We start from the raw sequence: 24,423 nt of genomic DNA, 5'->3' as shown, positions 1-24,423 counted from the left end.
AGAGTTTTCTGTCTCTCTCTAGGTATTCAGAAAACTAGGGATATAAGGACACCTACACAAAGATTACTTAGTTCTGGGGCTTTTGAATTGTGTTCAGTAACGGTTAGTCAACCTCTTTCAGAAGCTAGGGAAGTAGTAATGCCCTATTTTTACAACACATTGTATGACAAAGCAGATGGGGCAAAATGTAAATAATTGGTGAATCAGAAGATAATTGGGAGTTTCTTGCACTGTTGCAATGTTCAGGTTTGAAACTACATCAAAATAAAAAGTTAAAAATATAGAAAAGGAATGAAAAATTTTAGAACTGATGTGGAACAATATTCAAAATATTTTAAGCGAAAACAGCTAGGTGCAGAAGAGCATGCTACCATTTGTCTGACTTTGATACTAATATTGGCCTCATCCAATGAGTTGGGGAGTATTACCTTATTTAAAGATTTTGTGTAAAACTAGTATTTCTTCCTTAAACATTTGACAGAGTTCAAACTGAAGCCACCTGGGCAGCCTGGTTTAAATTAAAAACCTTATGGCAAGGCTTTTCACGTTAAATTCAATTAATTTCTTTCTTTCTTTAAGACTCTTGCCCTGTCACCCAGGCTGGACTGCTCACTGCAGCCTTGACTTCCTGGGCTCAAGCAATCCTCCCACTTCAGCCTTTCAAGTAGCTGGGACTGCAGGCACACACCACCATGCCTACTGACTTTTTAAATTTTTTTTTAGAGATGGGGTCTCACTATGTTGCCCAGGCTGGTCTTGAACTCCTGGACTCAAGCAATCCTCTCACCTCAGCCTCCCAAAGTGCTGGGATTACAGGTATGAGCCACTGCATTCGGCCCAATTTCTTTAATAGATAATAGGGCTATTCATATTTTCTTTTTGCAACTGTGTTGGTAATGCGAATCTTTAAAAAAATTTGTATATTTCATTTATGTTGTTAAACTGGTTAGCATAAAGTTGTTCACAATATTCCCCTATTTTCTGTTCTTTTAATTTCTGTAAGAGCTACAGTAATGTCCCTCTTTCATCCCTAACGTTGGTAATTTGTACCTTCTTTCTTTTTATCTTTACCAGATTTTATAAATATTGTTGATCTTTTTGAAAAACCAACTGTTGGCTTCATTTTCTTTATTGTGTAATACTACCTTAGAGGATAGCAGTTCCTAATACCTACTTTTATTATGAGTCTCTGCCATTTATAAAGAACTGTGGACAGCACAGGGAATGGGGGAAGAAAACTCTGGTGCAGCTTGAATCTTGGTAGCAAAACAGTGACTTCATCAGAAAATTTTGTCACTCTCTATTAGATAATGGAGTTTGACCATTTGGAATTTGGAATTTTTCAAATGAATATGACAAAAATTTAAAAAACTCTTGTATTACTATGTGATAACACAGATCTTTACAACTTTATGTTTGTTTTATCAATTACATATTAAAGATAGAAAATGGATGTGTTGTGATTCCAATTTGTTCCTGGCTAAAGGCATGTCTTACCAACAGCTTTTCCTGTTTGTACAACATTCCGGCTAGTTGTGACCATGACGTTTCCAATTTTTTTGCCACGTTCACTATTCTGAACAGAACTGGGTAAAAGATAAGATAAAAGAAGTGTTAGGTACAATTTTAAAAAAATCTCACACACGCACACAGACACATATAGACACACACACAATAGTCACTCTGTAACCATCCAAAATTAGAATTACTGAGAAAAGAAGCTAAATTATTATTTGTTATGAATTAATTTATTAACCTTTTAAGCATGTGCATTTTCAGAATACACGAGAAGAACATACAGATGAACCAAAAAGTGGTGAGGACATAAGGATGTATGTATGGCTGCATCTCTCCGACAGCCACGGCTTGCTAAAAGCACTTCACCAAAATAAAAATGGTAAATCCTGTTATTAGTTCACACCATCCTGTATGAAACAGTGGTGTTCTCACTTTGAAACATACACACTGCTGAGCTAAAGAATGTTATGCACATATTTGGTTACTATTTGAAGCATAAGTCTATCAAGTAGAGAAAAACAATTCCCAATTAGCAATGAAACACATGGCATAAATTCAGACTTAAGAATTTTCCCAGTATTTTCTCTAAGTACTTACTGTGAGAACCTTAACTTCATGTCTGATACTGAGTATTGGCCTTGAAATGGATGGCTGTAAAAAAAGTTTGAGTTTAAACTATCAGTATTTTACCAAAAAGGCTGCAAAAAGAGTTATCACAAGAAAATATTAGTAAACTTCTCATGGACAACACAGCTGGGTGGTAGTGCTGTGTTTGGTATCGGGAAACTTGGCTTTGGTCACAGCTCTCCACTTACAGTGACGACATCCAGAAAAGATTACTTAACCCCTCTGAGCTTTAGTTTCCTCACTTGTAAAACAGGTGTGTTGTCTGTTTTGTGTGTGTATAGCCTGTTTTAGTGCTATCCTGACATTCTAATTTATTTGGTCTGTCTTGGGTGGGGCTCAAACATCAACACATTTTTTACAAGCTCCCCAGGACAGTCAAGGTGAGTCACTGGTTTTAGGACATGGTCATAGATCATACCTTGATCCTGGCCATCTTATAAATGTGTGCTATTGGTTATGCAAAGATTTGTGGATGGATCAACAAAATCTCTACTTTCTGTTAGAAAAGCAACTCAAAAGGCAGGTCTTAAAAAAAAACAGCACTATCATTATTTTTGTAAGAAAATACATTATTCAGACTTCCCTATTTCCATTATATTAAAAGAAAAAAGTGTATTATATATATATAATATATAATATAATATATAATATATAATATATAATATATAATATAATATATAATATAATATATAATATATAATATATAATATAATATATAATATATAATATAATATATAATATATAATATGTAATATATTATATATAATATAATATATTATATATAATATATAATATATTATATATAATATATATATTATATATATAACATATTATATATAATATATAACATATAATATGTTATATAACATATATTATATATGTTATATATTATATAAAATATGTGTTATATATATTATATAAAATATATATAATATATAATATATATAATACATATATATATATAAAATCAGGCATTCTGCAATTATACAGGCAGTAGGAAAAAAATCAAGCAACTTAACCACATAAAATGGAGGGGTCAATAAATATCCAATTCTTATCTCAGGGGTCCCTCTGTCAAGGTCTAACAAAGAAAGTGACCCTAGTAAAATCCATAGCTGCTTATAAAATTAATGGTTCTTCAAATGATAACAAACTACTCTTCATGGCCCAAAGTAAGTATATGTGACACTTCTTCTTCTTGGATTCCTGAATCACAGGATTGAAATACGGACACATCACTTGATCATTCTCTGTGTTCCTGGCATGGCTGTATTTAAGGGATGAAATACACCTGCTGCTTGTTAAGTTAGAATGCTGCCTTCCCTAATCTTTAGGAGTTAAAGGGTTTCATACTTCTCAAAAGTTATAATTAGTTTGAAATATTTCTAAATGACACCCTCTGATAACAACAGACGTCTAGCATTCATTTTATTTTTTTGAGACAGAGTCTCACTGTTACCCAGGCTGGAGTGCAGTGGCGCAATCTCAGCTCACTGCAACCTGCCTCCCAGGTTCAAGCGATTCTCCTGCCTCAGCCTCCTGAGTAGCTGGGAGTACAGGCATGTACCACCACACCCGGCTACTTTTTTGTATTTTTAGTAGAGACAGGGTTTCACCATGTTGCCCAGGCTGGTCTTGAACTCCTGAGCTCACGTGATCCGCCCACCTCAGCCTCCCAAAGTGCTAGAATTACAGGCGTGAGCCACCAGGCCTGGCCACATTTGTTATTTTTAATTTGGTAAAAATGTTGAAAATTTGCTATTGAAGAAAACTAAACTATTTCACCCCAAAATATACTTCTTTGATGTATTTCAAGATGGCTATTCAGAAAGGCTGGAAATGCAAGAATTACTGAAAAGCTGTCTTTTTGGGGGTAGATTTGCATCTGTAGAGAAAATCTGCATTAATGCAGCCTGGTTTGCTCTGAGGCCCTCCAATATCAAGATATAGGAAAGATGAACCGAGTGTCTGACACCTTTAAAGGTCTGAAAGAAACATTTACCATCAATTCTCTCTGAGGGCTGCTACCTGTGAAGTTTTATCTCTATAACAAGACCAACTCTGCTAGCCAGGCCTCCTTTCTTCTCCCTCCCACAACCTGTCTTGCCACTATAACCTGACTTACCACCATAACCTGTTTTTGGCCATGCTCCAAGCCCCCAATTCTTTCTGTAACCTGAAGATGGTATGTATATAAACTTGTGTACCCTGTTGGCGGGTTGGGTACACGAGCTTGGGTACACAGTCCAATCACCCTGTAGCTCTCCCTCATGCACATTAACAAATTTGCATGCCATTTCTCCTATTAATCTGCCTTTTGTCAGCTGACTTTCCAGTGACCCTTCAGAGGATGAAAGGGAAGTTCTCCCTTGGCCTGCACTATCATATCTGCATGATTTCCCTACCTATATATTTCAGTTAACAAGTCCTTCTTCAGCCTTCTTTTCAATCTAAATAGGCTCAACTTCTTCACATGTTCTTCTAAGCACTATTTCATAATCCTTTTAAAACTCATTTCAGCTAAGTCTCTTTTGGACCTGCACTAACATCTATAGAGCTGGTTCAAGTTAAAAGCACCAGATGTAGTGACAGATAAAGATCTGACCAGGCCTCCCAGTGCAGGGCCCAGGGAGGAGACTAGGATGGCTCTGCATGTTGACTGCTTGGACAGTCAAGGCCGACCTGCCTTCCCAGCACCACCCTGTGAGTGCCACCCTGCTAAGCACCTCCACATCTGTTTCCCTTCAGCACGCTGAGAATAGAGACTTTGTTGTCAGTGAGGGAGAACACTTTGAACTCAGCCCTTTCATTTAATACTATTAAAATGGTTTTGCCTTTTAATTCTGTTTTTACTATATTCAAATGGCAATATAGGTTTCTGCTATAGCCAAGTATGATGATTAAATTCACCAAAATTGGTGTTGAACCTAGTACTTTAAAAGATGGGGTCTCATTATGTTGCCTAGGCTGGCCTCGAAACCGTGGGTTCAAGTAATCCTCCTGCCTCAGTCTCCCAAATAGCTGGGACTATAGGCACCCACCACCACGCCTGGCTAAATTTTTTGTATTTTTAGTAGATACAGGGTTTTCACATCATTAGCCAGGATGGTCTTGATCTCCTAACTTTGTGATCCACCCGCCTCAGCCTCCCAAAGTGCTGGGATTACAGGCGTGAGCCACTGTGCCTGGCCTTATCTTTTAATTTAGAAAACAAGTTCCTGTATACACTATATCAACTGATCTCCTTCAATGCTCTCTGTTGTATTCACACTCAGATGTTATTGTTTCATAATGGCTGTAATCAATGGCCTTTTATGCCTATGTGGGATAAAGCCTTCATCATCAACATTCAGTATTACAGCAGGTATTAAGTTTTGTTGAATTTTAGAGTCTGATGTGGAAACCAGGTATGACCATATATCCAGGAGTCCAAATATTAACTTTTTTTTTTCTTTTGAGACAAAGTCTCCCTCTTGTTACCCAGGCTGCAGTGTAATGGCATGATCTTGACTCACTGCAACCTCTACCTCCTGGATTCAAGGGATTCTCCTGTCTCAGCCTCCCAAATAGCTGGGATTACAGGCGCCCACTACCACGTCTGGCTAATTTTTTTTGTATTTTTAGTAGAGATGGGTTTCAGCATGTTGGCCAGGCTGGTCTTGAACTCCCGACCTCAGGTGATCTGCCCACCTCGGCCTCCCAAAGTGTTGGGATTACAGGCATGAGCCCAGCTTCAGATATTAACTTTAATTGGTTTCGCATATGTCATGTTTTAAAATTGCCTCCTAATTTTACTCATGCAGTAAACCAGTGGTATTTCCTTCTAGGATTCTATCTTGTTGAACCATTCTGTTAAAGAACAGCTCCAGGGAGAAAGAGAAGAATCATTGTGTACTGAGCATCACCAAGTGCCAGGGACTTCCTCTCTGAATCACATCGAGAGCCAGGGAAATGTTAGTGCTTCCCATAATGCTCATGCTTTTTGTATAACAATCTGAATATGGAAGCAGTTTCTAAGCTGTTTCTCTATATTTGGGAGCCTTTTTATGACCTACTTAAGGGGATTCTTGAGGATATTCACAATATCAAAGTTAAAATAGATTTTTCTCTGTATTGGGCACTCGTAAACCAACCATTTATGTACTATCAATCTTCAGAGGACGCGCTTACTTTGGATTTATTTCTGCAAGTGCTGGATGCTTGTTGCTGTTCCACACCCTGTAGTTGTGAGTATTCTTCCATGCTGTAACAAAAGTTGTCCCATAGTCCGATAATATCTTTTCATTGTCTGTCAAGTAAATGTTTGAAAGAAGTTGAGCTGGGCTGTAGCCATTCAGGGATGTGAAGATTATAACCAAAAAGGGTAAAGGAACGACTTTATCCCCTTGCCCTCCCATATTTGTGGGGAGATAGCCTACCAGATGTCAGGAAACTTGGGTCTAGTTCCAGAAATCCTGTTAAGGAGCTATGTGGCCTTTGGCAAGTCACTTAATCACTCAGAACTTCATTTTCCTAACTGGAAAATAAGAGGGTTGAGCCAGATATTTTCCAAGGTTCCTTACAACTCCAAAATATTTCCATATTCTCCTTACCATTATGAGGATAGTATTAATTAATCAAAAACTGTATGCTTGACAGTGAATAAACATACTGATTGATATGTATGGCACAGGCAATTGGGATATCTTTCTACTTTTTTATAAATGTCATTTTTCTACAAAAAAAAAGATTAAGAATGAATACACAAATTGGTTCTTTCAGTCATGATGTTCTCTCCTTTGGACTTTATTTGGTGTTTCATTCTTGAATTTCCTAGCATTTCACTGTCAAAAACACTTAAAAAAGGCCAGGTGCAGTGGCTCATGCCTGTAATCCCAGCACTTTGGGAGGTCGAGGAGGGCGGATCACTGGAGGTCAGGAGTTCGAGACCAGCCTGGCCGACATGGCAAAACCCTGTCTCTGCCAGAAATACAAAAATTAGCCAGGCGTGGTGGCGGGTACCTGTAGTCCCAGCTACTCGGGAGGCTGAGGTAAGAGAATCACTTGAAACCAGGAGATGGAGGTTGCAGTGAGCCAACATCATGCCACAGCACTCCAGACTGGGCAACAAGAGCGAGACTCTGTCTCAAAAAACAAAACAAAACAAAACAAAAAAAGTCTTAAAAGAATATACTGAAAACTGATAAAGTTTTCAGCTTTATCAATACCATGGGAAAGCATCCATATGTGTTTCCTCCGCTTGGAAGATTAGAAATGGTTTGGAGAACTGATACAAATGGCTATTACTTCATATATTAATTGCATGTTGTTTACTTTGAAGGTGAAATACAAAGTACCTTTTGTTGCTAGGAAAGGAAATGAATGAGATACACAGTTCCATACACAGCATAAAGAAGTTGTTCTAAGAACACTTCCTCAAGCAGTTCATTGGGCTGAATTTCCTCTTTTGACCTTGTTACTTGTAAGAGTATGGGCCTAAGCCAAACTGTTTGGGATCAGATCCCACCTAAGCCTCTTATGAACCTCTGTGAGCTTCATTTTCTCTTCTGTAAAAGGCAATGACAAGGTCCCTACCTTCAGGATTGCTGTAAGGATGAAATGAATTACTAGATGTAAAGTGCTCAGAACACTGGTCCCTGCATATATTTAATGTTCAAAAAAAAAAGTGAGCTACTATTATTCAGTGCTTACAGCCTCCTGGGCAAATATTTTTAAAAAAGCAAATTAATTAATTTGCTTAAAAGCAAATTAATTAAGCTACATGGCAGTGGAGACTGAAGTTTTCTTTCTAGATTACCAAATGATTTGGGGTTAAAGGATTTAATTTTGGTGTCTCAGCTGCTACATTGTTAGTGGTGGCAAACATTTAAAAATATCTCATTAACAAACGAGGGCTTGTTCCTCAGCTGTCTTTTACAAATGAAAAACTCTCCCGAAACCTACTTTAAAACTCCTATGTGCACTGTAAACAACTAACCTGGGAGCATGTGGTGGTGGTGTTGATTAAAAAAATCTACTGATACAACAATGAATGTATCTAATGCCACTGTGGAACTGTACATTTAAAAATGGTAAAGATGGTAAATTTTATGCTATGTGTATTTCATCACAATTAAAAAAATAATGGTTAGTTAACTGAAACAAAAACACAAGCTCAACACATTTTTAACAACTCTAATAAATATCTGCCAAATGTCCAAGGTGAAAAGCTCACTGCAGAGCTCCATTTTCACTATTTATATATTTCTTTCCCAAGGAGAATGAGATAGTTTTAATGCAGGAGTAACTCCATGTTTACCTGCTCCATTTTAACCATTTAATACGAATAATAATATTTCTTAGAATGGGTTATAAATTTGAAGATTTAATCATTTACAACACGATTTTCAATGATTTCTATTTTTTATATTCTTTCTCCCTTTATACATCTTAAAAAACATGTGGCAGTATTCACAAACAGCTGCCAAATACTGATGAATATGAAGCAGTCATGTAAAAGTGATGATATATGTTCATGTTATGTTGGTATGTGTTGTTTCTATTATAAAGTAATAGTTTCAGAAAACATGTATAAAGGGATCCATTTTTGTAAAAGGACCACCAAAAGTACCATAAAACCAAAATCCAAAATACATGCATAGGAAAAGATTTGCAAGGCTATAAAGTACTAAAGACGTTAAAAGTGGCTATCTTTGTATGAGGGAATAACTGGTAATTTTTCTATAAGGAATATGTATTTATTGTGCAATCCAAAATCTCATAAATGTTACAAAATGAAAAATTATAATAAAACAGGTAGCTGTAGGCTCCGTGTGGTTTCTTACCTAATTGCAGTGTGGCAGCCAGCAGGGCATGAATGTAGACCGCAAACTGGGCCCGGATCCATTCGTCACCTCCCTCCCAGCCCGTGCCATCTAGGAAGACGTCATCCCGATTCTCAGTCACGTGCCTCACTAGGTAGTCTGCGAACCTTAGGTCTGCAGTGGTTGGGTTAAGCAGCTTCCTGAGTTCTGGATCATGGATCTGGATCAGAGCTTCTTCTACCTAGAGGGTATCCAGGTACAAGTCAGAGTCTGGGCATTCACGCAGACATCCATGCCACACTTTACAGAGTAACTACGGGGAAGGTGGAGCTGGAAATAAAAAATATGAATAATGGCATTCTCAAAAGGTGAGTCTAAGAAAGAGGTTTGTACACTGAAGTTTTCTTTCTATTTATAAAATGCTCATTTTCTGTTTTTAGAAAATACACACATAAATATAGTATTTTAAATTACAAAATTACTCACCTAGATTGCAAATATTTGGGAAAATATAGAAATACATGTAAAAATCACCTTTATTTCACTAGCAGAAATGAACACATTTAACAAGTATAATTCCTTAAATACTTTTTCTTTTGCGTGCAGATACTTTAGAATATTCTTTTTTTTTTTTTTTTGAGACGGAGTCTTGCTCTGTCGCCCAGGCTGGAGTGCCATGGCACAATCTTGGCTCCCTGCAAGCTCTGCCTCCTGGGTTCATGCCATTCTCCTGCCTCAGCCTCCTGAGTAGCTGGGACTACAGGCGCCCACCACCACGCCCGGCTAATTTTTTGTATTTTTAGTAGAGATGGGATTTCACCATGTTAGCCAGGATGGTCTCGATGTCTTGACCTTGTGACCTGCCCACCTCGGCCTCCCAAAGTGCTGGGATTACAGGCGTGAGCCACCATGCCCGGCCAGATACTTTAGAATATCTTATTATGTAATATTTGATATACTAAAAAATACATGTAACTTACAGGTTAGTTTTGAAGTATAATAATAAAAGAAATTCCTACGAACCCACCAACCAACTACAGAACTAGAATGTAACCAATAATGATGAAGCAGCTTTATGGTCCTCCCATCTGTATCCTCCTGTCTTGGAAAATGTATATACTTTTTCTTCTTCAAATTTGGGATTATAATAAATACATCTTTGAATCCTGGACTTTCATTATATTATAACCATTCACCCAAGAAACATGTTTTCATACTTTCTGTCAGAAACTACAAAAACCTCAGTGTGGCTGAATTTTTTTTTTTTCTTTTTTTTTTGAGACAGAATTTCACTCTATCGCCCAAGCTGGAGTGCAGTGGCACGATCTCGGCTCCCTGCAACCTCTGCCACCCGGGTTCAAGCGATTCTCCTGCCTCAGCCTCCCGCGTAGCTGGGATTACAGGCACCTGCCACCATGTCCAGCTAATTTTTGTATTTTTAGTAGAGATGGGATTTCACCATGTTAGCCAGGATGGTCTCGATGTCTTGACCTTGTGACCCGCCCACCTTGGCCTCCCAAAGTGCTGGGATTACAGGCGTGAGCCACTGTGCCCGGCCAGATACTTTAGAATGTCTTATTATGTAATATTTGATATACTAAAAAATACATGTAACGTACAGGTTAGTTTTGAAGTATAATAATAAAAAAAATTCCTACGCACCCACCAACCAACTACAGAACTAGAATGTAACCAATAATGTTGAAGCAGCTTTATGGTCCTCCCATCTGTATCCTCCTGTCTTGGAAAATGTACTTTTTCTTCTTCAAATTTGGGATTATAATAAATACATCTTTGAATCCTGGACTTTCATTATATTATAACCATTCACCCAAGAAACATGTTTTCATACTTTCTGTCAGAAACTACAAAAACCTTAGTGTGGGTGAATTTTTTTTCTTCTTTTTTTTTTGAGACAGAATTTCACTCTATCGCCCAAGCTGGAGTGCAGTGGCACGATCTCGGCTCCCTGCAACCTCTACCACCCGGGTTCAAGCGATTCTCCTGCCTCAGCCTCCCAAGTAGCTGGGATTACAGGCACCTGCCACCATGCCCAGCTAATTTTTGTATTTTTAGTAGAGACGGGGTTTCACCATGTTGGGCAGGCTGGTCTTGAACTCCTGACCTCATGATCCACCCGCCTCAGCCTCCCAAAGTGCTGGGATTACAGATTTGAGCCACTGCAGCTGGCTTTTTTTTTTTTTTTTTTTGAGACAGGGTCACTCTGTCACCCAGGCTGGAGTGCAGTGGTGCAATCTTGGCTCACTGCAACCTCCACCTCCAAGGTTCAAGTGATTCTCCTGCCTCACCCTCCCGAGTAGCTGGGACTACAGGCATGCACCACCATGTCTGGCTAATTTTTTTGTATTTTTAGTAGACATGGGGTTTCACCATGTTGGCCAGGCTGGTCTCGAACTCCTGACCTCAGGTGATCTACCCACCTCGGCCTCCCCAAGTGCTGGGATTACAGGCGTGAGCCACTGCGCCGAGCCTCATAAAATTTCTCAAAAATTATTTCAGGCTGGGCGCGGTGGCTTACGCCTGTAATCCCAGCACTTGGGGAGGCCGAGGTGGGTGGATCACCTGAGGTCAGGAGTTCGAGACCAGCCTGGCCAACATGGTGAAACCCCATCTCTACTAAAAATAGAAAAAATTAGCCGAGCGTGGTGGCGGGCACTTGTAATCCAACCTACTCAGGAGGCTGAGGCAGAAGAATTGCTTGAACCCAGGAGGTGGAGGTTGCATGGAGCCGAGATCGCGCCATTGCACTCCAGCCTGGGCAACAAGAACGAAACTGTCTCAAAAAAAAAAAAGAAAAAAGATTATTTCAGTTGTAAAATAACAAATGATTTGAATTTCGTATATATTGATGTCAAATATTTATTCCTAGCTTTCGTCTTGGTATCAAGAGCATTCTAAACAGGCTAGAAGGATTGAAATTACTTAAACAACAAACACATGTTAAAAATCATGAGGTAGTGGTAGGCCCAGTTGCCCAGGTTGGAATCCTGGTTTACCTGTTTACTGGCTGTTTGATATTGTACAAATCACTTCATCTCTCTGTTACTTAGCCTCTGCAGGTATAAAATGTGGATAGGACAGTGCTATTGACTGTGTTTTTATGAGAATTAGACCAGTTAATACACATAAAATACTTAGAATACATGGCATACAGTATGCAGTTATTATCATTACTAATGTTGTTACTATGTATTCATAATTGTAGTTAAGAAAGGAAAACTGGGATGAGCAGGGCCAAATACACACACTCACACATAAACGTACTTCCACAATGGCATCACTGAGGTGTTTCTGTTGTCGAAAAAGGATGTTAGTAGCTCCAGCAACAAACCCCCGAACGGTGACATCGGAGAGAAGATGATGCTGCTGCAATGCCATGTAAGGCAAACACAGATATCCCTATGAATTAGAAGAGTAATAGAAAATATCAGAAAAGTAAAAGGTTACCTTTCTCTTTAAACTTAGTGAGCTAACAGTAGGAAAAGAAACTTCCATTCTTCCTTGCCCTGTCTGTAAGTCAGCTAATCTTTGACTCAATAAAATAATATTCCAGGGGAACTTCAAGTCTTGACTACAGTAAGTCCAGTTAATGATTAGCTAATTGTCTCCATGAATGGTCAAATCTTGGCAAGGTGGTTTAATATGAAGGTTGTCTTTCTTGATCACTTTGTTCTCATTCAATTTAAAAGTCTCCACAGTAACTAATGAATTGAACCTTTTCACTTAGGAAATGAAGCATTAAGCCTGTTAGTAAGTACGTTGTTTAGTAGAAGGCTGTTAAAAATTTAAAATACATGCATCTGCACATAACCACCGAAGCACTATTAGGAGAACAGCAAGGTACTACATAGCATTTGTTATACCGTCCTATGTTAAAAATCATGCAAAAAGATTTCAAGATATTTGTTACTAAATATTTAAAGCAAAAATGACACTGGTAGTATCTGTGTATTTAATTAATTTCCATTTGAATTTTATTTGAAAACAGCATTGCTCCAAAAATTACAGTGGAATTGCTAAACTGCAGCAGGCATCTAAGTATAGAAAAAATCCAGCATACTTCCTGAGAGTACAAGTGTTAACACTGGAATGATTGACTGAAGGAAGATATGCAATTTCTGCTGAAAGATTCTAAATCAGAATGGGTTTTCAACAAGTGGCATGACTTGTATATACAGCCAGGAAGGCAGACTCACTGAGCCCCTCAACTTGTTTTCAGCCTCAAGTTCTATAAGTTTTATTTTTTTACATCTCATCACTTTTTAAAACACAGAATTATGTCATCTGGATAATATCGTGTTTACATCATGAGACAAATCTCTCTGAAGGCAGGGGATATCCGCTTTGCAACTTGATATTCTTTATTCCAACTAGGAGAGCGCTTTGTGTGTAACTAACAGGTGGTTGTTAAATACTTAACATGAAAGGGAAGACTTCCAAAAGTTGGAATATATGTCTGGTAATTTGGTTATATTCTTACTCTTGAAAATGTCTTTTGTTGCTTGATCAGACCCTAACAGAAGCAGCAAAAATAAATCTATACCTTTGCATTAGAGATGCTCAGTATAGAGCTTCTCAACCCAGGCTCCTCATTCAGAATCAGTATTATATTTCATAATAATAACAAAACTAAAAAGTATGTTTTTAAAAAGTAGGTCAAAGCTTTCAAGAAATGTTTAAAAATCCTTTAAAAATTTATAAATATGTATGCCTTTTGGCCCAGCATTCTACTTGTAATTTATCCTACAGTATCCTACAAATATTATATCATATGTGATATTATATTTATGAAAATAAATGCAATACCAAAAAACTCGAATCCAAACTCTTCATGAATAGGGGACTAAATAAATGTTCATCCATACAATGAACCTGCAGCCATAAACAGTGATGATATTCATCTCCAAAGAATATTATGGGCTGGGCATGGTGGCTCATGCCTGTAATCCCAGCATTTTGGGAGGCTGAGGCAGGCGGATCACTTGAGGTCAGGAGTTCGAGACCAGCCTGGCCAACATGCTGAAACCCTGTCTCTACTAAAATTTCAAAAATTAGCCAGGCATGGTGGCGGGCACCTGTAATCCCAGCTACTTGGGAGGCTGAGGCAGGAGAATCGCTTGAACCCAGGAGGTGGAGGTTGCAGTGAGCCAAGATGGCACCATCGTACTCCAGCCTGGGCGACAGAGTAAGACTCCATCTCAAAAAAAAAAAAATAAATAAATAAAAGAATATGATGTAAAAAAAAGAATAAGCGGGCTGGGCGCGATGACTCACACTTGTAATCCCAGCACTTTGAGAGGCCAAAGTGGGAGGCCTGCTTGAGTCCAGGAGTTCCAGAATGGCCAGTCAACATAGTAAGACACTGTGTCTAGAAAAAAGAAAAATTAAATTAAAAAAAGGGCTGGGCGCGATGGCTCACACCTGTAATCCCAGCACTTTGGGAGGCTGAAGAGGGCAGATCATCTGAGTTCAGGAGTTTGAGACCAGCCTGACCAACATGGTGAAACCCTGTCTCTACTAAAAATATAAAAATGAGCTGGACCTGTGGTGGCGAGTGCCTGTAATCCCAACTACTCAAGAGGCTGAGGCAGGAGAATCGCTTGAAAAGACCAGGAGGTGGAGGTTGCAGTGAGCTGAGATCATATCACGGCACTCCAGCCTGGGTGACAAGGGCAAAACTCTGTCTCAAAAATAAATAAATAAATAAATAAAAATAAAATAAAATAAATAAAAAATAAAGGGCAAAAATGGGCACATTCTGCTACCATTTGTAAAAAGGGAGGGGAAAATATGCATTTGTTTCTGCATAGAATACCCCCAGAAGAAAACAAACATAAGACAGTGACAATGTTGGCTGCCGCTGGAGAGGGCTGCTGGATAGCAGGGGATGAAATGGAAGGGAGACTTTTTATTAGCGATGCTTTGAAATCTTTCAAATATTGAACTAAGTGGAAACATTACATATTTATACAATTATTTAAAATAGTTCAAAACAGCTTTAAAATTGTAGCATTACTTGCTAGGTGTGGTGGCTCATGTCTGTAATCCCAGCACTTTGGGAGGCCAAGGCGGGCAGACTGCTTGAGCTCAGAAGTTTGAGACCAGCCTGAGCAACACGGTGAAACTCCATTTCTACCAATAATACAAAAATTAGCCAGGTATGGTGGCCTGCATCTGTGGTCCCAGCTACTCAGGAGACTGAGGTGGGAGGATCCCATGAGCCTAGGAGGTCAAGGCTGCAGTGAGCTGAGATCACACCACTGCTCTCCAGCCTGGGTGAAAAGCAAAACTCTATCTCAAAAACAAACAAACAAAGTTACAAATAAAATGAAACTTAAGAGAATTATAAATTAAGTCATCTTTTGGGGGAGGCAATTGTGTATTTTTTAAAAAAGTACCAGATATAATAAAAGCCAAACAAAGAAATGGCTACTGCTCTTTAGAAAAGTTTTAAGACTCAGCAAAACAGAACAATACTTGAAATAATCTTCCCTATCTCTCAAACACTAAAAGTCACATTTACTTATTTATTTTTTGAGACGGAGTCTGGCTCTGTCACCCAAGCTGGAGTGCAGTGGCGCGATCTCGGTTCACTGCAAGCTCCGCCTCCCGGGTTCATGCCACTCTCCTGCCTCAGCCTCCGGAGTAGCTGAGACTACAGGCGCCCACCACCATGCCTGGCTAATTTCTTTTTTTGTATTTTTAGTAGAGATGGGGTTTCACCGTGTTAGCCAGGATGGTCTCGATCTCCTGACCTCGTGATCTGCCCGCCTCGGTCTCCCAAAGTGTTGGGATTACAGGTGTGAGCCACCGCACCTGGCCAAAAGTCACATTTGTTTGGCCTACTAGATTGTAGGTAACTTTTTTAAAATATTAGTATTTATATACTATTTTATTTTTATTCTCTATCCCCAGTGCTTCATTTGACTAGCCTTAAACATTATTATTTTGGCTGGGCATGGTGGCTCACACCTGTAGTCCCAGCTACTTAGAAGGCTAGGGTGGGCAGACTGCTTGAGCTCAGGAGTTCAAGACCAGCCTGGACAATATGATGAAACCCCATCTCCACAAAAAATTAGCTGGGCGTGGTGGCAGGTGCCTGTAGTCCCAGCTACTTGGGAGGCTGTGGTGGGAGGATCGCTTGAGCACAGGAGGTGGAGGTTGCAGAGAGCCGAGATTGCACCACTGCATTCCAGGCTGGGCAAGAGTGGTGAGACCTTGTCTCCAAAAAAAAAAAATAATAATAATAATTAAAATTTTTTTAAAATAATAATAATTTGTTGAGATGAGGTCTTGGTCTTTTGCCCAGGCTGGAGTGCATTGACATGACCATGGCTCACTGCAGTCTTGACCTCCTGAGCTCAAGTGATCCTCCCACCTCAGCCTTCCAAGTAGCTGGGACTACTGGCACATGCCACCACACCCAGCCTTTTTTTTTTTTGGAGTGCAGTGGCACGATCTTGGCTCACTGCAACCTCCGCCTCCCGGGTTCAAGTGATTCTCCTGCCTCAGCATCCTGAGTAGCTGGGACTACAGGCGTATGCCACCACGCCCAGCTAATTTTTGTATTTTTAGTAGAGATGGGGTTTCACCATGTTGGCCTGGATGGTCTTGATCTCTTGACCTCAGATGATGTGCCCGCCTCGGCCTCCCAAAGTGCTGGGATTACAGGCATGAGCCGTCGCACCTGGCTCCAGCTAATTTTTTGACTTTACTTAGTAGAGCTGAGGTCTCACTATGTTGCTCAGGCTGGTCTCAAATTTCTGAGCTCAAGTGATTCTTCTGCCTTGGCTGTTTTAAAGTTTTTTAATCGACAATAATTGCATTGAGGTAATTTCTTTCTTTCTTTTTTTTTTTTTGAGACGGAGTTTTGCTCTTGTTGCCCTGGCTGGAGTGCAATGGCACGATCTCCACTCATCGCAACCTCTGCCTCCTGGGTTCAAGCGATTCTCCTGCCTCAGCCTCCCAAGTAGCTGGGATTACAGGCATGCACCACCACACCTAGCTAATTTTGTATCTTTAGTAGAGACGGGGTTTCTCCATGTTGGTCAGGCTGGTCTCAAACTCCTGATCTTAGGTGATCCGCCTGCCTTGGCCTCTCAAAGTGCTCGGATTACAGGCGTGAGCCACCACGCCCAGTCGCATTGAGGTAATTTCTAAATAGAGTTCTATTATAGTGACTCAATTAATTTTACTAAATAATGGCAATAATCTCGTAACTAGAAAAGAGGGAGAAAATTGATGCATGAGATTAAGTCAGGTGGGACTCCGAGCTCCAAGGGCTCCAGTCCTTTCTGGCCAGTCCTCCACTAACTATTTTGCTCCAATGTGCAGCCAATTCCAGAACACTTTCAGTAACAAGATGGGAAGACTTAAAATCAGGGAAGAATGGAAGAAAAGCCCTCAGGATTGTCTTTTCACATCAGAAAATAGCTACTGTATCTTCCTCGTTATCTTTTTTTCCACTTCCCTCATTCCACTTCAATGTTCCTCTGGTTAGAAAGTGATGGAGCAGCAGAGCACAAATATTACACAGGCACAAATCATCCTCTAATTTTCGTACTTCTCCTTCAGTGTCCCAGTTGCCTTCCCATCACCCTATAGGCAGCCTACCCCACAGCTGCCTCTAGCCCCGCCTCTTATTCCTTAGCAGCTGTTTCTTCTCTACACTTCCTGAATCAGCTCTCAGGCTTTCCTGAGAAGGATATTTTAGAAGCTAGTATTCACAGCATTTACATAGTAAGCCTCCTCTCTGAAACTGACATGAAAGGCATCAACCTCAGGCAAGTTCAAGTACCAGAGAGAGGATTAGAAAGTTGGTAAGCTGAAGACTTTCTTCCGGAAATAATTATTTTATTATGTAGAAATTTGTTTCCATTTATTCATATGATAACTACTCTACTTCAGCAATATTCCCCAGGCACCCAGGCTTCTCTCCGGCTATTTCTAAAATTATTTTCAAAATGTTTTGCTAACCTAATTCCTTCTGTACAAGGATTTTAAGATCTTCAAGAGAAAAAAGCCTAAAGACAATTCGGTTTTAAGAATATTTTATATTCCAAAGTTACTGACATGAAAAAGTCAGCATTGGCATTTGAAACTGTGATTAAAGAAATTAGATTTTCATCCAAACACTCAAAAAACATAAAACCAAAAAGACAAATATTTTATAGGGATGTTAGTAAGCCCATCACGTATTTAATACTGATATTGTATACGGCACACAAATCTAATATTCCGCTAAACATGCTTTATTGACAAGACACAAAATACATCTTTACATTGCTTTGTCAGCAACCTGACAAAACCTAAATCCCTCTACAGTTAATTTCCCTCTTGATATCTTCACAATAGTAAAAATTAGAGGGCAGGTCGGTGAAATAGCAAAGTCAGGGCTCCGAAAGGTATAGGAAGTCATAACACAGCTCAGAAAGCCCGCAATTTGTGGCTACTTGCTTTACCAGTAGTCTGAGAAACCCGAGTTTTCTCCCAAGTTCTTAAATTCCAGTTTTAAGAAACTGCATTGATTTAATCATGAAATCAGTTAAGATAATTTCAGAATCCCAAGCAGGTTACAAAATGAACAAAGATGGCATTCTGTATTAACTATTCACCAACAATGACTCTGGGCAAGTACATTTTTGCAAAGCTGGGTAAACCCAGAAATAATTTATCGAATAATATAGGAGAGGAATACATACATTGTTCAAGCCAACACTACCCATCTTTCTTTTCCACATAAAAGTGGAATACCACTTCATGGATACCAGACAGTATTCAGGGAAAAACAGAATACTTTGTTCTAGTAACTGAAAAGGTGGTAGACTGCCTTTCATGGTAGACTGCAAGATCACAGATGGCAAGAATTCAGAATCTAGTATGGTGTCTGGCTCATGGAAGGGCAAGAAATACAGTTGGTTCTCCACATCCATGGGTTCCCACATACCAGATTCAACCAACCTTGGATTAAAAATATTGAGAAAAATAATAATACTAAATTAACCCCAGCATAGTAACTACTCACATAGCATTTACATTGCATTAGGTATTATAAATAATCTAGAGGTAATTTAAAGTATACGGGAGAGGCTGGGCACAGTGGCTCATGCCTGTAATCCCAGCACTTTGGGAGGCCAAGGTGGGTGGATCACCTGAGATCAGGAGTTTGAGACCAGCCTGGTCAACATAGTGAAACCCTGTCTCTACTAAAAATACAAAAATCAGCCAGGCAGAGTGATGGGCACCTGTAGTCCCAGCTACTAGGGAGGCTGAGGCAGGAGAATCGCTTGAACCTGGGACGTGGAGGTTGCAGTAAGCAGACATCACGCCACTGTACTCCAGCCTGGGGGACAGAACAAGACTTTGTATCAAAAACAAAACAAAACACAACAAAAACCATATATGGAAGGATGTGCACACGTTATATGCAAATACTATGCCAATCTATGTAAGTGACTCAGCATCAGTGTAACTTTATTTATTTTTATATAGAGACAGGGTCTTACTCTAAACTGTAAAGCTCAGGCTGGAGTGCAGTGGCACAGTCATGGCTCATGGCAGCCTGAAAGTCCTGGGTTCAAGAGATCCTCTTGCCTCAGCCTCCCAAGTAGCGGTGACTACAGGCATATGCCACCATGTCCAGATAATTTTTTTACTTTTTTGTAGAGATGACGTCTTGCTTTGTTGCACAGGCTGGTTTCTAGATCCTGGTTTCAAGCAATCCTCCCCACCTCGGCCTCCCAAAGTGCTGGGATTACAGGTGTGAGATGCTATGTCCAGTCCAGTGTAACTTTTGACCCAGTGAAGTTGACTGCTTCATCTTAATGCATTACTGACATTAAGAAATGATATCCTGAAAAGACTGTGAATTAAAGATTCAATTTGATTTACTATATTGCATTTAAGTTATTAAAAAATTTCAAATACATTCTGAATGGTTTTTATAAAAAGATTAAAAAATAGGGTTAGAACAATTAGCCAAAACAGTTATATTCAAATGAAGTTTACTAATATAAGTACAGTTAATAAGTGTATGTGTTAAGTATACTTAGTAAATACATATGTATAATATTTGTATTTGTTAGTTATAACTTACCTCACTTATAAGTGATATAAGTTAGACATCTAAGCTTTTTTCTTTTAAAACTGTAGTATTTTAATATACATAGGCACCTCTTTTTATTGTACTTCACTTTATTGTGCTTTTTCTAAGCTGAAGGTTTATGGCAGCCCTGCAAACATCAAGTCTGTCAGTGCCATTTTCCCAACAGCCTGTGCTCACTTCCCTGTCTCTGTCACATTTTGGTAATTCTCACATCTCACACGTTTTCCTTATTATTGTGTTTGTTATGTTGATCTGTGATCCGTGATCTTTGATGTTACTATTGTAATTGTTTTGAGTGACACGAACCACGCCCACATAGACAGCAAACTTAATAAATGTTGTGTGTGTTCTGACTTCTCCACTGACTGGCCATTCCTGTCTCTTCCCCTGTCCTCAGGCCTCCCTATCCCCTGAGATGCAGCAATATTTAAATTAGGCCAATTAACAACCCTACAATGGCCTCTAAGTGTTTAAGTAAGAGTCTCACATCTTATTTGAAATCAAAAGCTAGAAATGACTAAGTTTAGTAAGGAAGGCATGTCAAAAGCTGAGACAGACAGAAATCTATGCCTCTTGCACCAAACAGTTAGCCAAGTTGTCGATGCAAAAGAAAAGTTTTTGAAGGAAATTAAAAGTGCTACTAAAAGTGTTTTTGTTTTTGTTTTGTTTTGTTTTTTAAACCAGTGAACACACAAATGGTAAGAAAGTGAAACAACAGCCTTATTGCTGATATGCAGAAAGTTTGAGTGGTCTGGATAGAAGATCAAACCAAACAGAACATTCCCTTAAGCCAAAGCCTAATCTAGAGCAAGGCCTTAACTCTCTTCGATTATATGAAAGCTGAGAGAGCTGAGAAGATGCAGAAGTATGAAGCCAGCAGAGTTAGCTCACAATGTTTAAGAAGCCGTCTCTATAACATAAAAGTGCAAGGTGAAGCAGCAAGTGCTGATGAAGAAGCTGTAGCAAGTTATTCAGAAGATCTAGCTAAGGTCATTGATGAAGGTGATTACAGATTTTGAATACAACAGATTTTCAATAAAGACAAAACAGCTTTCTATTGGAAGAAGATGCCATCTAGGACTTTTGTAGGTAGGGAAGAAGTCAATGCCTGGCTTTAAAGCTTCAAAGGACAAGCTGACTCTTACTGGGGGCTAATGCAGCTGGTGACTTTAAGTTGAAGCCAGTGATGATTTACCATTCCCCAAATCCTAGGGCCCTTCAGAGTTATGCTAAATCTGCTGCCTGTGCTCTAGAATGGAAAAACAAAGCCTGGATGACAGCACATCTCTTTACAGCATGGTTTACTGTATATTTAAGGCCACTGTTGAGACCTACTACTCAGAAGAAAATAAAAAAAGATTCCTTTCACAATATTACTGCTCATTGACAATGCACCTGGTCATCTAAGGGCTCTAATGAAGATGTACAAGGAGATTAATGTTTTTCATGCTTAGGAACACAACGTTCATTTTGGAGCCCATGGATCAAGGAGTCATTTTGACTTTCAAATCTTATTATTTAAGAAACACATTTCATAAGGCTATAGCTGCCATGGATAGTGATTCCTTTGATGGATCTGGGCAAAGTAAATTGAAAGTCTTCTGGAAAAGATTCATTACTCTAGATGCCATTAAGAACATCTGTGATTCACAGGAGGAGGTCAAAATATCAATATTAACAGGAGTTTGGAGGAAGTTGATACCCCTGTCATGAATAACTTTGGGGGGTTCAAGACCTTGGGGGAGATTTGGTGGAAACAGCAAGAAAATTAGAATTAGAAGTGGAATCTGAAAATGTGACTGAATTGCTGCAAACTACTGATAAAAACTTGAACGGATGAGGAGCTGCTTCTTAGGGATGAATAAGGAGAGTGGTTTCTTGTGATGGAGTCTGCTCCTAGTGAAGAAGATGTGGTGAATGTTGTTGAAATGACAACAAAGGATTTTTATTCATTTATATTTAAATAAATTAAAAATTATTTAATAATTAATTGTACTTCACTTTATTGTGCTTTTAACATTATTATTTAAGTTTTATTCACTTTGTTGTTTTTTTAAAATAATTATTAAATTTTAAATAATAAACATTTATTATTTAAAAAATAATAGAGTCTCCCTCTGTCACCCAGTCTGGAGTACAGTGGTGTGATCACAGCTCACTTTAGCCTCAACCTCCAGGGCTCAACCAAGCCTCCTAATCTCAGCCTCCCAAGCAGCTGGGACCACAGGCGCGAGTTACCACATCTGGCTAATCAAACTCCTGGCCTCAAGTGATCCTCCTGCCTCAGCCTCCCAAAGTTTTGGGATTATAGGCATGAGCTACTGTGCCCGGCCTAAAGTATTTTTAAATTAAGATATGTACATTAAAAAAAAGACATAATGCTACAGCGCACTTAATAGACTACAGTATAGTGTAAACATAACTTTTATATGCACTTGGAAACAAAAAAATTCCTGAGACTCGCTTTATCACAGTGTTCTGTAACTGAACCATAGTATCTCTGAGGTGTGCCTGTATTTATTGAGTGCAATCAAGGCTGTCTGGACTTCCTTAATTCTGTTTTTAAGGAGAAACCTGAATAATTAAAAATAGACCCAAGAGAGTGATTGTGCATATGACTCATATCTACTAAGTTTCAAAACATTTACCAATCAAAATCCCCTATATACTTCCCCATAGACTTATACTATGGTCACGGATGCCACAGTACTATGTATTTGGTTGTACTTTACAGTTTTCAAGGAAATTTTTCCACCTGAAAATGTGTTGAATACCAAAAGTTCAAAAGTTAAACTCCGAAAGGATTTTTCAAATTCTTTAAGGAATTCGATAAAAAATATTACACTTTACCTTTGTGAAGATGGCCAGGGGCATGCCATACTGATCCTCTTCCAAACCCGAAATGAGCCCTGGTATCAGGACTACCTGTCCCGTATTAGCTTGAGGTTGTACAGTAATTGGAAGACTCTCTGAGGGGACAGAGTCCTTTGGAAACAAATTTGTCTGGTCTGATCCCAGCTGTTCCCTTTCTTTCAAGTTGGGGTCCTCTAAGACACTAGGATCCAAAGTTTCCCAGTCACTTTCTGAAGAATCTGGAGATGGGCGAGATGGAGGTTTCAAATATTGATTGGTATCATTGGGTTCCTGCCCTTTGCTGCTGTCTTCCACTTGGAACAAAGGCTCCTCAGTCTTCATGGCAGCATCTTCTCCATGGTTTCCTGCCATGACTTTCCTGATAGTTCCCAAGTTGGTATGTGAAACATCAGCAGTGGATGCAGAAACAAAATCATCTGCACATGGGTTACTTTCCTGAAGCCCACCATCTTCAGACATACTTTTCCGGGGTCTATACTGAGAACAGTCACTGAGACCATGTTCAATCATGCCTAAAATATGCAATATCAAAGAACAGCTTGGCTTATAATAATATGGAAGAACCTGAGAGCTATATATTAGTAGACTCCCCTATAAAATTTAATAAGCTATGCTTGTACACATTTTAATTAAAAACAAAAAGAACAGAAAGAAGCCCAGACAAAAGAGAGAAACCTATTTCCAAAAGGAAGACGTCATATTAAAATAGAAAGGATAACCCTAACGAATTTATCTTTGAAACTTTATTTCTAAAAGTTTAGGTTCCAGTACAAGTTAAACAAAAGAAAGAGTAGATACTGCTGTTTTCTTACCTGGAAAAAGGGATAACACAGTCATCAGTGCACCCACCAATTTATTCACTGGAGAAATATAAAAAAGAACCTGGAATGGAGTCAATCAAAATCAAATTAGAAGACCCATGAAGCCGTCCATAATGATAACAAATAAAAAAGAGGGAAAAATTCCTTATATAAGAATAACAGCTGGCCGGGCGCAGTGGCTCATGCCTGTAATCCCAGCACTTTGGGAGGCCGGGGTGGGTGGATCACGAGGTCAGGAGATCGAGACCATCCTGGCCAACATGGTGAAACCCCGTCTCTACTAAAATACAAAAACTTAGCCGGGCATGGTGGCACACGCCTGTGGTCCCAGCTACTCAGGAGGCTGAGGCAGGAGAATCACTTGAACCCAGGAGGCAGAGTTGCAGTGAGCCAAGATCACACCACTGCACTCCAGCCTGGCTAGAGAGCGAGACTCTGTCTCATAAAAAGAAGAATAACAGCTGCTGGGCTTGGTGGCTGGCTCACACCTGTAATCCCAGCACTTTGGGAGGCCAAGGCGGGCAGATAATGAGGTCAGGAGATCGAGACCAGCCTGACCAACATGCTGAAACCCCGTCTCTACTAAAAGTACAAAAATTAGCCAGGCATGGTGGCACACACCTGTAATCCCAGCTACTCAGGAGGCTGAGGCAGG

At 39.3% G+C, this 24,423-nt stretch overlaps 1 protein-coding gene and 1 pseudogene across 14 annotated transcripts in view; one reads left to right on the top strand and one right to left on the bottom strand.

Annotated features, from left to right (window-relative positions):
- DPY19L1P1 (DPY19L1 pseudogene 1) overlaps positions 1 to 1,449 on the top strand; it is a 138,230-nt pseudogene extending 136,781 nt beyond the window's left edge. Inside the window, exons 16-17 of the transcript NR_036680.1 lie at positions 724 to 816; positions 1,075 to 1,449. The product of NR_036680.1 is annotated as a DPY19L1 pseudogene 1 (transcript). The remainder of the gene's footprint in view (positions 1 to 723; positions 817 to 1,074) is intronic.
- The window catches only part of AVL9 (AVL9 cell migration associated), a 93,238-nt gene that overhangs the window by 6,339 nt on the left and 62,476 nt on the right, over positions 1 to 24,423 (bottom strand). The window contains exons 9-15 of one of the 13 annotated variants that reach the window (XM_005249668.3): positions 23,760 to 23,829; positions 22,924 to 23,459; positions 12,222 to 12,368; positions 8,970 to 9,189; positions 6,316 to 6,433; positions 2,116 to 2,169; positions 1,498 to 1,586 (exon numbers count right to left, since the gene is read on the bottom strand). In XM_005249668.3, the coding sequence (XP_005249725.1) occupies positions 1,498 to 1,586; positions 2,116 to 2,169; positions 6,316 to 6,433; positions 8,970 to 9,189; positions 12,222 to 12,368; positions 22,924 to 23,459; positions 23,760 to 23,829 (1,234 nt within the window). Of the gene's footprint in view, positions 1 to 1,497; positions 1,587 to 2,115; positions 2,170 to 6,315; positions 6,434 to 6,573; positions 6,662 to 8,969; positions 9,279 to 12,221; positions 12,369 to 18,204; positions 19,831 to 22,923; positions 23,460 to 23,759; positions 23,830 to 24,423 lie in introns of those variants that run through there. The other 12 variants (NM_015060.3, XM_005249670.3, XM_017011891.2 and 9 more) reach the window with 12 other exon arrangements.

Source organism: Homo sapiens, chromosome 7, assembly GCF_000001405.40.
Source record: "Homo sapiens chromosome 7, GRCh38.p14 Primary Assembly".
Taxonomy (NCBI): Eukaryota; Metazoa; Chordata; class Mammalia; order Primates; family Hominidae; genus Homo; species Homo sapiens.
The sequence above is the reverse complement of the archived record's forward strand: the minus strand, read 5'-3'. Positions and strand labels throughout refer to the sequence as shown.